The sequence below is a fragment of the Homo sapiens genome, chromosome 1, assembly GCF_000001405.40.
Source record: "Homo sapiens chromosome 1, GRCh38.p14 Primary Assembly".
NCBI classification, from domain to species: Eukaryota; Metazoa; Chordata; class Mammalia; order Primates; family Hominidae; genus Homo; species Homo sapiens.
Genome location: NC_000001.11, coordinates 6246744 through 6262220, shown reverse-complemented (window position 1 = coordinate 6262220; position 15477 = coordinate 6246744). Strand labels below are relative to the sequence as shown.

The 15477-nt window shown below is 61.1% G+C and overlaps 1 protein-coding gene across 3 annotated transcripts, besides 6 other annotated features; it reads left to right on the top strand.

Annotated features, from left to right (window-relative positions):
* Nucleotides 884–1203: a silencer, noted in NCBI's record as "silent region_150". NCBI's record gives its function as "represses an Ori minimal core promoter by ATAC-STARR-seq in GM12878 lymphoblastoid cells {active_cell/tissue: GM12878}" and the evidence as "EXISTENCE:reporter gene assay evidence [ECO:0000049][PMID:35858748]".
* GPR153 (G protein-coupled receptor 153) lies at nucleotides 1123–14868 on the top strand. 3 transcript variants are annotated; one of them, NM_207370.4, is made up of 6 exons: nucleotides 1123–1396; nucleotides 7207–7671; nucleotides 8074–8503; nucleotides 10691–10883; nucleotides 11597–11781; nucleotides 12218–14868. In NM_207370.4, exons 2-6 carry the CDS (start codon nucleotides 7316–7318, stop codon nucleotides 12881–12883), a joined length of 1830 nt encoding a protein of 609 aa, NP_997253.2. In that variant the 5' UTR covers nucleotides 1123–1396; nucleotides 7207–7315; the 3' UTR covers nucleotides 12884–14868. The 3 variants fall into 3 exon arrangements, with proteins under 3 accessions (NP_997253.2, XP_011539736.1, XP_016856739.1); XM_011541434.4 differs by having other exon boundaries at nucleotides 7099–7671; XM_017001250.2 differs by lacking the exon at nucleotides 1123–1396 and having other exon boundaries at nucleotides 6969–7671.
* Nucleotides 1384–1553: a silencer, noted in NCBI's record as "silent region_149". NCBI's record gives its function as "represses an Ori minimal core promoter by ATAC-STARR-seq in GM12878 lymphoblastoid cells {active_cell/tissue: GM12878}" and the evidence as "EXISTENCE:reporter gene assay evidence [ECO:0000049][PMID:35858748]".
* Nucleotides 1574–1733: a silencer, noted in NCBI's record as "silent region_148". NCBI's record gives its function as "represses an Ori minimal core promoter by ATAC-STARR-seq in GM12878 lymphoblastoid cells {active_cell/tissue: GM12878}" and the evidence as "EXISTENCE:reporter gene assay evidence [ECO:0000049][PMID:35858748]".
* Nucleotides 1904–2093: a silencer, noted in NCBI's record as "silent region_147". NCBI's record gives its function as "represses an Ori minimal core promoter by ATAC-STARR-seq in GM12878 lymphoblastoid cells {active_cell/tissue: GM12878}" and the evidence as "EXISTENCE:reporter gene assay evidence [ECO:0000049][PMID:35858748]".
* Nucleotides 11997–12538: an enhancer, noted in NCBI's record as "H3K27ac-H3K4me1 hESC enhancer chr1:6309743-6310284 (GRCh37/hg19 assembly coordinates)". NCBI's record gives its function as "activates a minimal SCP1, AML or CMV promoter by ChIP-STARR-seq in primed H9 embryonic stem cells {active_cell/tissue: H9 hESC(primed)}" and the evidence as "EXISTENCE:reporter gene assay evidence [ECO:0000049][PMID:30033119]".
* Nucleotides 12880–12949: a silencer, noted in NCBI's record as "silent region_146". NCBI's record gives its function as "represses an Ori minimal core promoter by ATAC-STARR-seq in GM12878 lymphoblastoid cells {active_cell/tissue: GM12878}" and the evidence as "EXISTENCE:reporter gene assay evidence [ECO:0000049][PMID:35858748]".

Here is a 15477-nt window from a genome sequence, read left to right as displayed (position 1 = left end):
TAGGCAGGTGCAGGCTGTGGAGCAGCCCTGCCCGGACTGGGCAAGCTCCAAGCATCCGTTTTGGCTGCAATTGGTTTGGGTCTCCTCCTGGTCGGGTGCCTAGTTTCCTCCAGACACAGGGGTGCCTAGTCATGGATGTGTCCCAGAGGCACGGAAGGACACTATGCCAGGCAGCCCCAGAGGCCTTGTGCCCATTGTGTGTGTGGTCAGGTGCTTTCTAGAAAAGACAGGCACGATCCTCAGGAGGCGTCCTCTCCAGGGCCCCCATCAAGAAGCAGGAGGCTTTCCGCCTGCATGGGGCCAGCTGAGGCTGTCAGTCTGTGGGTGACAGCCTGTGCTCTATGAGGAGTGGTGATAGCATGAGGGCTTGGGAGGGAGGGGCGGAGGGGCGGGAAGAATGGGAGGAGGGGAGGAGGGGAGTAGGAGAAGGCTTCAGGCGCTGGGCTGCAGACCCTGGCCTCTCCCGGCTGGGCGGTGGTGCTCAGAGTTTCAGAGAGAACAATTTCTGAGCCTGTGGGGGTGGCGGGGACCACTCGGCAGCCCGGTGGCCCGTGCACTTTATTCCCTCAGTGGACCCCCCAGGCCCGGGGAGCAGCGTGAATCCGTAACTGGCCCAACCTTGCCCCTCGCTGCCCCTGCTTCAGACTGGATTCCCGGTTCCTAGAAGCCGCTGGCCATGCGTCCCTTGTCCTCTCCACGCCCCGCCCCGATTGTTCATCTTAGATGCGGCTTCCTCCAGGAAGGTCTCCCTGAGCCCCAGCCCTGGCCCCAGGTTCTCAGTGTCCATTCCTGCCCCAGCTCCCTCTGGCCCCCGGGCCCCCAGAGCTCCGGGCCTGGGTCTTGCCCCGGCGTCCGAAGGCGGCGTCCGGAGTGTGCACCGAGCCGAGCTGGGAGCCAGGGGCGCGGCGCTGTCAGGAGGCGCCACCAGCCCAGGGAGGCTCGGGCCGGCCGCGGGCGGACGCGGGGACACGGGTGGGCTGCGTACGGACGGACTGACGGAAGGACGGACGGGCTGACAGACCGACAGACGGCCGCGCCTCTGAGCGGGCGGGGGCGGGGCGGGCCGAGGGGCGGTGCGGAGGCCCCGGCGGAGACATGCGCCCTGCTCCGCCCCCCGCCCCCGGCCGCCCGGCGCAGCAGCGGAGCGGCGGGAGCTGAGCGAAGCGCGGCGGCGGCGGCGGCGCCTAGGGGAGGGAGGGGCGGCGGGGCCGAGCCCACCTAGCGGAGCGCGCCGGCCGCCGGTGGCCGCCGCCAGCATGCCCCGGCCCGCGGGCCGCTCCGCCGCCAGCCACCCCCGCGGCCCTCGGCGGCCTGCGCTCGGCCCGGGGGCGCGGGAACCGCAGCCGGAGCCGGAGGCGGGAGCAGCGAGCCGGAGCCCCGGGCGCTCGAATGCAGGGTGAGCGTCGCCGCCCTGGCCCGAGGGCGGACGGACGGGAGGACCCCGGCGGGAGGACTCGGCGGGAAGGGAGGGGGCTTTCCGCGCCCTATCGGTCGCGGGGTCCGTCCGAGGGCCCACGAGCGGCGCTTAGCGCTGGCACCCCCCCAACTTGGGGACCTTCGGGGTAACTTCCCTGGGGCCAGCCCCTCCCTCCGTCCCCCTGCATCGGGGCCTAGCAGCGCCGCCCCCTGGGCTTCTCAGGGGACGGGGGCGGGGCGCGGTCTGGGGATCCTGAGCCCGCCCCTGCTCGGCGCAACCCAGAGGGGTCCGGGGGCCGCAGTCCCGCCAGGTTTCCCAGCCTGTCGCTCGGACGCGCCCTCGGGGTGGGGCAGGACTCGGGGCACCCACTGGGGACCAGCAGGCGAGAGCACGCGAGTCGGAGCGGGGATTGCGGGGGGGGGGGGGGATCGGAGCCCCAGGGGGTTGGGACTGTAGGGGCGGGGGCTGGGGGGGGCGTGCCGGAGATGTCCAGGCCTCGCGCTGCGCGTCCCTCCCTGGGCGACGGCCAGGCCGGGCCCCGTGGAACACATCGGCTGCAGCGCGGGCGGAGACCGGCGTGGGGGCGGAAGCCGGGGCGCAGCCAGAGCCCGGGGAATCCTTTCAAGTTCTGGGTTCTCTTTGTTGCGCAATGGGGCCTCGGGGCCGCGCGGCCTCATTGGCCCGGAGCTGTGACGTCACGCCCCGGCCCCGCCCGCATGTCTTGCGGAGGGAGGCCTCATGGCCCGGGTGGGTCCCAGGCTAGTTGCACCTGCAGTTGGCCCTGCAGTGGGCGGGGAAGTGGGAAGCCGGGTCCTGAGATGCTGCGGAATGCTTTAAGTGCCCTGCAGGAGAAACTTCCCAGCAGAAGACAGGGCTTTAAGTGCCCTGCAGGAGACACTTCCCAGCAGGAGACTGGGTCCCGTCGGCACTGTGGGGAGCCCAGCCTGGGGTCTGGCCCTAGTGGCCGCTCCATTCTATGAAGAATGAACAGAAAGGGTGCAATCCGTGGATCTGTGGTCACTGACCCAGAGCCAGAGGGACACTTTGTTCCCACACAACCAGTCCTCTGTCACTCTGCACTTGGAACCCGGTGTCCACGCCCTGTCCCCCAGGACGTTCCTCTCCCATGCCAAGACTACAGTGCCCAGGAGTGCCTGGCCCCAAACCCAGCCCTGACACTATTCTCTCCGTGTTGCCCTGAGCTTCTGCCTGAAGTGTTCCCATCTGCAGTGTGGGGACGGTGAGACCTGCCCTGCAGACCTGAGGCTCAGAAAGACCTCAGCTCTAGGGACAAAAAAAAAAAAAATGCCCTTTTCCCCAACATTTTAGGGTTTGAGAGGCCAGGACTTTGGTGTCAGGCAAGTGGAGTTTGGATCCTGGCTCAGGCAAGTGCTGGCCGGGCAAACAGCTTTACCTCTCCCTGCTTCTGCTGGACAAACTTTACAATGGGGATGAATTGTGGGGGCACTCACTGGAGGAGCATGCCCGTGTGCAAGAGGATGCACGTGCCCCTGCCCACAGACCTAGAGCCTTTTTCTTTTTAAGACAGGGTCTCACTCTGTTGCTCAGGCTAGAGTGCAGTGGCACAATCATGGCTCACTGTATCCTTGACCTCCCCAGGCTCAGGTGATCCTCACACCTCAGCCTTCCAAGTAGCTGGGACTATAGGCTCACACCACTACGCCTGGCCAATTTTTTTATTTGTTGTACAGATGGGTTTTCCCCATGTTGCCCAAGCTGGTCTCGAACTCCCGGGCTCAAGCCATCCACTCACCTTGGCCTCCCCGAGTGCTAGGATTACAGGCATGAGCCACTGCACCCTGCCTTCAGACCTAAAGCCTTTCCCAGCAGTAATGCAGCATTAGGCTAGACGAGAGGAAGAACTGGCACCGCGAAGGGCTGGGCTGGTTGCAGCCTGTGGCTCTTTCCTTACCACCCTGCACCAGTAATCAACACATGGACAGGGTGGGCGGGGCCAAGGTCACGGGGCTAGACAGAGCTTGTTCACGGGGCTAGACAGAGCTTGTTGGGCATCTGAGGGAAGGCCTCCCAGTCTCACAGCCGAGGCTGCCTTGGGCAGGTAGAAATAGATGCTGACCTGCTAGGTGCATGCTGAGTCCACTTTCCTATTTGAGAGCGTAAAGACCACTGGTGTCTGCAGCCCTCTTGCTCACAGCGCTTACTCACACTCTGTCTGCTCTGAACCCCCAAAAGGCTGCCAGGCACCCCAAAGGCTGGAGGTGGCCCAGTGCTCCCCTCACTCCTGAGGCTACTCTGCCCCAGGTCCTGGTCCCAGTGAATATGTATCTGCCCACAGGTCTGAGGCTCCCCGGCACCTCCAAGCTCAGTGTCTTGGCCCATAAGAGACAGCACAAGGCTGGGCGCGGTGGCTCATGCCTGTAATCCCAGCACTTCGGGAGGCCGAAGCGGGTGGATCACCTGAGGTCAGGAGTTCGAGACCAGCCTGGCCAACATGATGAAACCTCGTCTCTACTAAAAATACAAAAAAATAGCTGGGCGTGGTGGCGGGCACCTGTAATCCCAGCTACTTGGGAGGCTGAGGCAGGAGAATTGTTTGAACCCAGGAGGCGGAGGTTGCAGTGAGCCGAGATCCACCCTGGGTAATAAGAGTAAAACTCCATCTCAAAAAAAAAGAAAGAACTCTGGACAAGACAAGCAGGAGGCTTGCCAGCTGCTGGCTGGGGCATCGCTGCCTTCCCTGCCCGAGAGCCAGGGGCCTTGGCTAAGGCGGCAGTGGCCCCCCACCTTGAGCTGGAGATACTTCCTCTCTGGGGGACATGGGGCGTATCTGGTACTATAGATGCCCATAAGGACCGGGGCATGAGAAAGAGAGCAAATGAGGCTAAATGGCCCCTGGGTAAGAAGGGCCAGTTAAGTGTGAGCAGAGCACAAGTAGGCCTTCACTTGGTACTGGGCTTCTCCCACACTGCCTGCCTGGGCTGCAGCCAGAGGGCTGCCAGGCTGGGAAGGGTGAGGGAAGGACTCGCTGCCCAGCCCTCTGGCAGGATGGGTGCTTCCCCGCTCCCCGCCACATGCCTGCTGCCCAGCATCCTATGTCCCTGACTCACATGGAAAGGCCATCGGCACTTCCTCTGACTTCAGAGTCAAGCTCTGGTCTGGTCTACTGGCCGTCTCCAGGCCCTTGCTGCCCAAGCCAACCAGAGCATGAGACTGGCCACTACCCCAGAGCACCCAGTGTGTGCCAGACCTGGGCCCAGGGCTATAGAGATGTGGCTCCTGTCCACCTCAGCCTCCCCGCGGAAGAAGCATGGCAGTCTCTTAGAGGAGAAGGTGCAGGGACCTTGCCCCAGCCACACCGCTGCTGTGTGGGGGCTTTAACCTCAGCGCGGGGTCCTGGCTCTGGAAGACCAGCTGGGGGCTGACATAGCAGACTGCCTGCCCCCTCTCAGGGTGGTCAGGAAGGTGGTGACCATCTCCGTTCCCCAACAGGTCACTTGGGGAACAGGAGAGGGAAATGGAGGTTCAGGGGGTGTGGTCTTCCGGGACATGTCCTTACGTGGCCTGATGAAGTAAAATAAATTAAGGCAAGTACGTCAGAGATGTCCACTGTGGGGGGCTCTGGCATGGGCTGTGTGAGGATTCTGGAACATTTGATGGCAAGAGGACTTGTTCTGGGATGGTGCCAGGTCATGCACGGGGCAAGAGTGCCCATCTGGGCCCACCTTGGATGGTTCCCTGAGGATGCAGGTAACCTGGAAGGGAGCCCAGATATTGAGCTTTGACCAGGAGTGGACGGAAGTGAGGGAATACGCACTTATTGGGCACCCCGTATACAGCCCCTGGGTGTCAGGGACATGGGCAGGAGGGTCCTCCCGGGGCGTGGAGAGGAGAGTGCAGCCTGATGTAAGCCAGGGCCAGATAGGTCATGGTGCGCCAGGGCCTTCCCCGCCTTAGGGCATTTGTGCTGTTGTAACACAGTACTTAAGACGCAGTAACTCATGAAGAACAGATTTATGTCTCGCCGGGTGTGGGAGCACTTGCCCTGTAATCCCAGCTACTCAGGAGGTTTAGATGGGAGGATCACTTGAGCTCAGGAGTTCGAGACCAGCCCAGGCAACATAGTGAGACTCTGTCTCTAAAATATAAAAATAAGGCCAGGCACGGCGGCTCATGCCTGTAATCCCAGCACTTTGGGAGGCTGAAGTGGGCAGGTCACTTGAGGTCAGGAGTTTAGGACCAGCCTGGCCAACATGGTTAAACCCTGTTACTACTAAAAATACAAAAAAATTAGCCGAGCATGGTGGTGTATGCATGTAGTCCCAGCCACTCGGGGCTGAGGCACAAGAATGGCTTGAACCCGGGAGGTGGAGGTTGCAGGAGCTGAGGTGGTGCCACTGCACTCCAGCCTGGGCGACAGAGCAAGACTCTGTCTAAAAAAAAAAAAAAGAAAAGAAAGATTTAAAAAATACACACATATATAAATTTTTTTTTTCAAAAAAGAAAAGCTGAGAAATCCAAAATCAAGGTGCTGGCAGGTTTGGTGTCTGGCAAGGCCTGGTCTGTGCTTCAAAGATGGTGCCTTGAATGCTGCGTCCTCTGGAGGGGAACAGCACTGTTGCTCACATGGCAGAAGAGGGAAAGCTCCTTGAGAGAGAACTCACTCCTGGAAGCCCTTTTGTAAAGACATTAAACCCACCCATGGCCTAATCACCTCTTAAATGTTTCATGGCCAGGCACTATGGCTCACGCCTGTAATCCCAACACTTTGGGAGACCAAGGCGGGAAGACTGCTTGAGGCCAGGAGTTTGAGACCAACCTGGGCAACACTGCAAGACCCCTTCTCTATAATAAAATTAAAATTAGCCAGGCAGGGCAGGGCATGGGGCTCACACCTATAATCCCAGCACTTTGGGAGGCCGAGGCGGGTGGATCACAAGGTCAGGAGTTCAAGACCAGCCTGACCAACATGGTGAAACCCCATCTCTACTAAAAACACAAAAAATTAGCCAGGCGTGGTGGTGCGTGCCTGTAATCCTAGCTACTCAGGAGGCTGAGGCCGGAGAATTGCTTGAACGCAGGAGGTGAAGGTTATAGTGAGCCAAGATCATGCCATTGCACTCCAGCCTGGGTGACAGAGCAAGATTCTATCTCAAAAAAAAAAAAAAAAAAAAAAAAAAAACGTAGCCAGGCATAGTGGTGCAGGCCTGTAGTCCCAGCTACTTGGAAGGCTGAGTGGGGAGGATCCCTTGAGCCCAGGAGTTCCATGCCACAGTGAGCTATGATCTCACCACTGCACTCCAGCCTGGGTGATAGATCAAGACCCCATTTCTAAAAAAATAGTGTTATCTTGTAATCCCAGCACTTTGGGAGGCCGAGGCGGGCAGATTACGAGGTCAGGAGATCGAGACCAGCCTGGCCAACATGGTGAAACCCCGTCTCTACTAAAAATACAAAAATTAGCCGGGTGTGGTGGCAGGCGCCTGTAGTCCCAGCTACTCAGGAGGCTGAGGTGGGAGAATGGCATGAACCCGGGAAGCGGAGCTTGCAGTGAGCTGAGATTGCGCCACTGCACTCCAGCCTGGGCTACGGAGCGAGACTCTGTCTCCAAAAAAAAAAAAAATAGTCTTACCTCTTAATAGTATTAGAATGGCAATTAAATCTCAACACGTTTTAATTAAATTTCAACATGAGTTTTGCAGGGGACATTCAAAGTGTAGCGCTCGCCATCTCCCATCCCAAGTACCTAAGGGCTACAACGCTGTCGCCAGAGAGGAAGTCACTGAGTGCCCACTGCCACCCCCCCACAGATGCTCGTGGTCCCCAGCATCCTTGAGCCACCAGGAGTGAGGGCTGCTGCTCCCTGAGACCTGGCTCCAAGGAGGATGCCACAGCCGCCTGCCAGCTCCGGTCTGCACCATGAGTGATGAGCGGCGGCTGCCTGGCAGTGCAGTGGGCTGGCTGGTATGTGGGGGCCTCTCCCTGCTGGCCAATGCCTGGGGCATCCTCAGCGTTGGCGCCAAGCAGAAGAAGTGGAAGCCCTTGGAGTTCCTGCTGTGTACACTCGCGGCCACCCACATGCTAAATGTGGCCGTGCCCATCGCCACCTACTCCGTGGTGCAGCTGCGGCGGCAGCGCCCCGACTTCGAGTGGAATGAGGGTCTCTGCAAGGTCTTCGTGTCCACCTTCTACACCCTCACCCTGGCCACCTGTTTCTCTGTCACCTCCCTCTCCTACCACCGCATGTGGATGGTCTGCTGGCCTGTCAACTACCGGTGAGCATGTGAAGTTCTGGGGTTCTTGGGGTTCTAAGCAGGCGTGAAAACAAAGACATATCTGGTGTGCCCATGCGCACACAGGAGTGGCCACACCTGTGGCATGCTGGGAGGGCAGGCAGGCTCAGGAGGGGCTGCTGTAAGCTGCTGGGGGCATACACGTAGCTTTGCATGGGTAGACACAAGCAGCCAATACAGAATGCTTGGAAGAGGGACGTGTGACAATGTTCACAGTATCTCCTATGCAAGGAACAAGGCCCTGCCACACTGGCTGTGCCATGACTATGATATACTGGGGGTGTGGGGTGCCTGGGTGGTGCGGATCCCCTACAGGTCCCCAGAGGCCTGGGGAGGCCCTGTGGGTGACGCCAGATCCCTCTGTTCCACCCTGCCTCATGCCAGGCTGAGCAATGCCAAGAAGCAGGCGGTGCACACAGTCATGGGTATCTGGATGGTGTCCTTCATCCTGTCGGCCCTGCCTGCCGTTGGCTGGCACGACACCAGCGAGCGCTTCTACACCCATGGCTGCCGCTTCATCGTGGCTGAGATCGGCCTGGGCTTTGGCGTCTGCTTCCTGCTGCTGGTGGGCGGCAGCGTGGCCATGGGCGTGATCTGCACAGCCATCGCCCTCTTCCAGACGCTGGCCGTGCAGGTGGGGCGCCAGGCCGACCGCCGCGCCTTCACCGTGCCCACCATCGTGGTGGAGGACGCGCAGGGCAAGCGGCGCTCCTCCATCGATGGCTCGGAGCCCGCCAAAACCTCTCTGCAGACCACGGGCCTCGTGACCACCATAGTCTTCATCTACGACTGCCTCATGGGCTTCCCTGTGCTGGTGGGTGACGGCGTCGGGTAGAGGGGCCTGTCTCTGGGACAGCCCTGGGGCTGCTCATACTCCAGGCATCAGGTGGTTGAGTCCTCAGACCCAATCCTTTGAGATGGGCTTGATCATCGTCCCCATTTTCCAGATTTGGAAACCGAGGTTCAGAGAGGTGTAAAGACCTGCCTAGAGTCAGGGCAGCCTGGTGGGACTTGAACCCACATCCGGCAACTGCAGGGCCCAGGGCCTAGCTGCTACAGTGCAGAAGAGTTTACTCCCCTTGCCCAAGGCCCATTTTTTTGTTTTTGTTTTACTTTATTTATTTATTTATTTTTGAGACAGAGTTTTGCTCTTGTTGCCCAGGCTGGATGTGCAATGGCACAATCTCAGCTCACTGCAACCTCTGCCTCCTGGGTTCAAGCGAGTCTCCTGCCTCAGCCTCCAAGTAGCTGGGATTACAGGTGCCCGCTGCCACGCCTGGCTAATTTTTTTTTTGTATTTTTAGTACAGACAGGTTTTCACCATGTTAGTCAGGCTGGTCTCGAACTCCTGACCTCAGGTGATCTGCCCATCTCAGCCTCCCAAACTGCTAGGATTACAAGCGTGAACCACTGCATCTGGCCTCAAGGGCCGTTTGATGCAGAGGTAGGATAGCATACCCATGGGTTTCCTGGTGGGTCCAGGTCCCAGGATGGACAGAGGGAGCTTTGGTGCCGTAGGTAGGTAGGTAGGGGCGCAGGATCAGGAGACAGAGCAAGGCCAGGGCGGGCCTCAAATGTCTGTTGGGGAGTTGCACTTGATACTAACGGCTGGGGAAGGCCAAGGTGAGGGCTGCTGTGAGAAAGGCCTTGCCGACAAAGGTCTGAGGTCCAGAGGGGCTGCCTGGGGTCCTCTTGGTGAAGCTGGGACCAGCTTGGCCCAAGAATGAAGTCTGGACTCAGTAGCCAACCCCTGCCCCCTGCAGGACTCTACGCCCATCCCCGAAAGGTCTGCAGTGAGACAGGGAGAGGACTGGGGCAAAGACCAGCCTGAGGGGTTTCATCCAAGCAGCAGGCAAGACTGCCTTCCCTGAGCCATTGCAGGACATGAGGACATGAGCTCCAGAATGGTGACTCGGGGGGTGGCAGCTTCAGAGTCAGGGCCTTGCTCAGGAGGCAGCCCCCACTGCCCCACCCCCAGCAGGCCTGGTTCTCCCCAGCTAAGGGTCCTCATGTGTACAGTGGGGGCTGGCAGCCCGGTCCCTGTGCAGATGGAGGGCAGGGGCTTCATGAAACAGCAGAGACCCACAAGGCACCTCGGGAGCAGAGTGGGGGCAGTGGTGGGGAGAGGCGGGGCTGGGAGGGAGTCAGAACCACCCCTGCGTCTCTTACGGACGGGGAAGAGGGTACAGCTTGTGGGGCCACTCCATGCTGCTGTTATAAAGCGTCCGGAGTCTTCACCCTCTAGAGCATGGCCTGTTCTTAGCCCATTTTCCAGATGAAGAAACTGAGCCCCAAAGGGGTTTAGCAGCTTTCTGAGGGTCACGTGGCCCACAAACGGCAGAATCAACATACCCACATCCTCCACACTTTCACTCTTTTGTGGCAGTCACTTAAGCATCACTCTTTGGGACAGAGCAACGAGGGCTATCCTGGGAGAGGAGGAATGCAGGGACCCAAAAGCAGGGGTAGGGCTGAGGAGGCCACTGGCCGGGAAGGGGGTGGTAGAATCTTGAACAGGCTTGAGACCTGGTTCTCTAAGCCTCAGTTTCCTCATCTCAAAAAGGGGATGGCAGCCGGGCACAGTGATTCATACCCGTAATCCCAGCACTTTGGGAGGCCGAGGCAGGAGGATCTCTTAAGCCCAGGAGATGGAGGCTGCAGTGAGCCATGATTGAGCCACTGCACTCCAGCCTGGGTGACAGAATGAGACTGTCTCAAAACAAAGCGGGGAGGAGGTGGTAATCCATGCCCCACTTCTCTCCATGGGCAGCCAGGAGGAAGACAGAGCAAGGCCACCCAGTGCTGCCCAGTAGCCAGGTAGCTCCCGGAAGGCGGGGCCTCCCACTGCCACGCTCCAGCTCTTTTCTCCCCAAGGGCCCCTTCTCCTTGGCAGATACCCACCTGTCAGACCTGCCGTACACATGGGGAGACCGAGACTCAGGGGGAGCTTGTGTGATGGTGGGGGGTCCTGCAGGTGCCAGGCCGAGCCCTGTGCCCACAGGTGGTGAGCTTCAGCAGCCTGCGGGCCGACGCCTCAGCGCCCTGGATGGCACTCTGCGTGCTGTGGTGCTCCGTGGCCCAGGCCCTGCTGCTGCCTGTGTTCCTCTGGGCCTGCGACCGCTACCGGGCTGACCTCAAAGCTGTCCGGGAGAAGTGCATGGCCCTCATGGCCAACGACGAGGAGTCAGACGATGGTGAGGATGGCCTGAGAGTGGCCCCAGGGAGAGTGGCGTCTAGGTTAGGTCATTGGGGTTGGCAGGAAAACGGCTGTCAGGCAACGCCACTAAGGAGGTGACTTCATTCTCAACCACCAGACACCCCGTGTCACCCCCAAATGTACTTGAATGTCCAAGGGACCTAAGCCAGGTTCCCACAGGGCACTCTCCTATCTGGCTTGGCTGCCCCAGGTTCCAAGTAATGGGATGTTCTGGTTAACAGAGAGCAGGGTAGACATGTCTGCAAGTGCTCCAGCGGAGCTCCTGGGCTCACCCCCCAACCTCAGGGATCCCCAGCAAGCTGCCCTGGGGGCTCCTGCAGACCGAGGTCCTGTCTGGATACCGTTACCAGCAATCCCATTACCCTCAGCCCAGCCCGTGCTCTGTCCAGGCACTGCCAGCCCCTTGCGTGTGTTATTTAGTCCTCCCGAGGTCACCTCTGGTCCCACCCCATGTCCTAGATAAGGAAATTGTCTCAGTGAGTGACCTCCCTGCCCAGTCTCACAGCTAAAGGGTGGCATATTTGGGATTTGAACCCAGAACCCCTCCCATTCCCTTTTCAGCTAACCAGCCCCCTACCTTGTATATGTCTGTTGGGGGATCTCAGGGGGATCCCTGGGATTCCCTCCCAGATGCCCCCAAGTTTCCATGACCCTAAGGCTCTGCCCCCCCACCCACCCCCCACCCTACAGAGACCAGCCTGGAAGGTGGCATCTCCCCGGACCTGGTGTTGGAGCGCTCCCTGGACTATGGCTATGGAGGTGATTTTGTGGCCCTAGATAGGATGGCCAAGTATGAGATCTCCGCCCTGGAGGGGGGCCTGCCCCAGCTCTACCCACTGCGGCCCTTGCAGGAGGACAAGATGCAATACCTGCAGGTGAGCGCAGGGCTGGGGGAGAGGCCGCACCTGCGGGTGACAGGGTGTCCTGAGCTCCCCGAGGCCTCTCCACTCGGAGCCCATCTCACGCCTTCTGCAGTCGCAGGGGTGGCTGTCACCATCCGAGGACGGGCTGTCCAAAGGTCACACAGCTTGTGTGGGTGGGCCCCAACCGCCACCCCCATGGTCCCTGTCACATGAGTTATCTCCTGCCGGCTCAGTATCCTCAACGAGCGCCCTCCCCAACCGACCCCAGCTGTCTGACACAGCCCTGCGGCTCGAAGAGACTGCACCAAACCTCACAGCTCCCAGCCAGACTGCCCCAGCGCGCAGCCTGGTCCCTGACCCACGGAAGGCCTTTCCCCAGGGTGGAGAAGGGTTTGTCCCCGTTTCCCAGGAGGGCAGCTCGGGGTAAAAGCCAGCCGCGTCCTGACAGGTCCCGCCCACGCGGCGCTTCTCCCACGACGATGCGGACGTGTGGGCCGCCGTCCCGCTGCCCGCCTTCCTGCCGCGCTGGGGCTCCGGCGAGGACCTGGCCGCCCTGGCGCACCTGGTGCTGCCTGCCGGGCCCGAGCGGCGCCGCGCCAGCCTCCTGGCCTTCGCGGAGGACGCACCACCGTCCCGCGCGCGCCGCCGCTCGGCCGAGAGCCTGCTGTCGCTGCGGCCCTCGGCCCTGGATAGCGGCCCGCGGGGAGCCCGCGACTCGCCCCCCGGCAGCCCGCGCCGCCGCCCCGGGCCCGGCCCCCGCTCCGCCTCGGCCTCGCTGCTGCCCGACGCCTTCGCCCTGACCGCCTTCGAGTGCGAGCCACAGGCCCTGCGCCGCCCGCCCGGGCCCTTCCCCGCTGCGCCCGCCGCCCCCGACGGCGCAGATCCCGGAGAGGCCCCGACGCCCCCAAGCAGCGCCCAGCGGAGCCCAGGGCCACGCCCCTCTGCGCACTCGCACGCCGGCTCTCTGCGCCCCGGCCTGAGCGCGTCGTGGGGCGAGCCCGGGGGGCTGCGCGCGGCGGGCGGCGGCGGCAGCACCAGCAGCTTCCTGAGTTCCCCCTCCGAGTCCTCGGGCTACGCCACGCTGCACTCGGACTCGCTGGGCTCCGCGTCCTAGGACCGCCGGCGCCTCCCCACGGACGCCAGGCAGGCCAGGCCGCTCTCCGGGGCCGCAGCACCAAAGACGCCCGCCTCCGCCCCGCGCGCAGACATGCGCCACCCCTCCCAGGGGTGAGGGGGCGTTGGCCTCAGCGTTTGTCTTCCGGCTCCTCCCAGCTGGCCTTGTCCCAGGGGCGACGGCTGCCCCGGACGACTGCGCTGGGCACCGCATGTCCCGGGCCGAGTGAGGTCGGGCCTGGGGAGCTGAGTGACATCCCAAGCTTGGGCTTGGGTAGTGAGTGACATGTGCACACGTCCAGCTGCGCCATCACCAGCCCTGCGCAACAGGACGTCGGGAGCAGGGAACCTGAGACAGGGCCACTGCGGGATCGGACAAAGCCCCGCTTTGGAGAGGCTGAGCTGGAGCCATTGGCCTCCCCAGGGGCTTTCCACCCACACTGCACCATAACCGCCACACCCTTCGGGGGGGGGGAGGGTACAGAGGGTCTCTAAGCACAGGGGTGTTCAGAGCCCGAACAAGCTTTGATCAGGTTTCCCTGCTTCCGACCTGTCCTGCCTCAGTTTCCCCATCTGTGATGAGCAGGTGACCACGTTAACTCTCAGGGCTGTTTGAAGTCTCTTGGTTGTAGGCCCTCGCCACTGAGTGGCCCAGGTGTGAGAGGTAGTCTAGAGCCCTCTGCGGCCTTTGTGGAGGTCCGTTTTCAGCATGTGGCCTGGTGTGGCTCCCTAGGCCTGAGGCCTCCCACTCTCAGTGCCCCCTGCCCCCTTGGGAACCCACACTCCACCCCAGCTAAGCACAACACTGTGGACCACCACCAATGGCACCTGAGCCACCTTGACCACCATTAGTGTCCCCACCCTCATTACTCTGCCGTCGTTGCCTGTCCCCACCACATCATCTCCCTCCATGGCTCCCACCATGACGCTGGCAGGTGCAAGCGGAGAGCACGAGGGCAGCAGGGCCTGGCCTTCCGTGTCCCTGCGTCATCCCCAGCCTCACTCCCCACCCGTGCAGGCCTGGCCAGGAAGGGATCCTGGCAGGGGCTTCCAGGTTCTCAGCTCAAGGCCTGGTCCCGGGCAGGCGTCCAACCCCTGGGAGCAATGTATTTCTTTGCCTTCCATCCTGGGCAGACCCCTTACAGGCCTGGGCATTGCCATGGGCCCTGGGTCTTCCCAGGCTAAGGAGAACCAGGAACAGCTATAACCTTGAGCTAGTGAAATAGGGTAGATGAGAAGGCTGTCTCCTCCAGACCCCTACCCCTACACAGTGGCCCCACAATATGAAGACCTGGGGTAATTCCAAGGTGAGCATAGAGCCTGCCTGTGCCCAGTTCCTTCTGGCCCTCAGGTGGCCAAGCCCATCTCTTCATCCTTCAGATAGGGTCCCACTCCCAGAAGAAGCTGCTGGGGTGGGGGTGGGAGGCTGCCTAAGCCTGTCTGTGCTTCAGAGGCCCCTCCAGTCCCTGGCTGTGGGGTAACTGGGGGTATGAGCTGTGGCCACAGGTGAGCAAGGCAGGGAACTGCAATCCAGCCCTGGCCGCGGGAGGGGCCATCTCTGGCCAATGCTGCTGTGCCTTCAAGGACTGACAAGTTACGTAGGGGCAGAGGTCGCCAGCTAGCCAGTGTCTCCTCCATCTGGGGGGCGTCTGTCCACTTGTCACCTTAGGTTTTCACTCATTTGTCACCTTGGGGTTTTGCTCTGTGTGTTTCATATCCAACGGCAATACTTGCAGGGGGACAGAGTCCTCTAAATACTCCAATCCTGCGGTTTTTACAAACATAAAGGGGGAGACCCCAAGTGGAGGACCCTGGGCCTGGAGCTCCCTCCCAAACTTTGTCCAGCATCCAGCCTGTTCCCTGGGCTCACTGGGGAGGGAGTTGTCTTCATAGCACACCCAGAGCCAGGGATCCCTTTGTAGTTTTTTGACAACGGAGCATTTCTCTTCTGTACAGGACCCAATAAAAACTTCCTTATGATTTGCACCTGGCATTCCAAGGCTGGTTTCGTAGAAAACCCTTCTACAACCCCACAGCAGGGCTGGCCAGCTGCCCTTAATGTCTTCCTCTGGAACCTGAGTTCTTCTGGTAGTGTGACATTTTTGGGGGGTTGGACTTGCTCTCTGTCTTCAGACAAATGCTCAGGTCCCACCAGCGAGTGAGGAGTGAGATGGTCCTGGAGTAGCAACAGGATGAAGCAGTGGGGTGGGCTCCACAGCCCACCAGTGGAGGAAAGGCCCTATTAGCCCAGGTGGCAACCCCTGCCCCAGGGTTGGCACCTGGGGCTGCTAGTCACCGTGAGCTTGACTGAAGAGACAGAACAGGGCAGGGCAATAGGAGCTGGGCCTAAGCTGCTTGGGACTTGTCGAGCCCCTGTCCCCCCGCGCGCCCGCCCTGGAGTTTGGAGGAAGGACCTTTGGGTCTGCAGTGCAACACCGCCACCTGGTGGACTGCAGAGGGATTTGTCCTGGCCTCTACCCCACCCCACACCGCGGGAAGCAGACCGGAGAGGCCACCCTGGACGGCGACAGCCGGGACTCCCACCCTCGCCCCAGCTCCAGCGAGCCCATTAGGTGCGACAGTGGAGCTGGGTTT

Bases quoted from the DNA above. Each gene is read 5' to 3' on its own strand.
- GPR153 (NM_207370.4), top strand. From the start codon at position 7,316: ATGAGTGATGAGCGGCGGCTGCCTGGCAGTGCAGTGGGCTGGCTGGTA. The intron at 8,504-10,690 runs GTGGGTGACGGC...CTGTGCCCACAG, and splicing joins TCATGGGCTTCCCTGTGCTG to GTGGTGAGCTTCAGCAGCCT. The intron at 10,884-11,596 runs GTGAGGATGGCC...CCCACCCTACAG, and splicing joins CGACGAGGAGTCAGACGATG to AGACCAGCCTGGAAGGTGGC.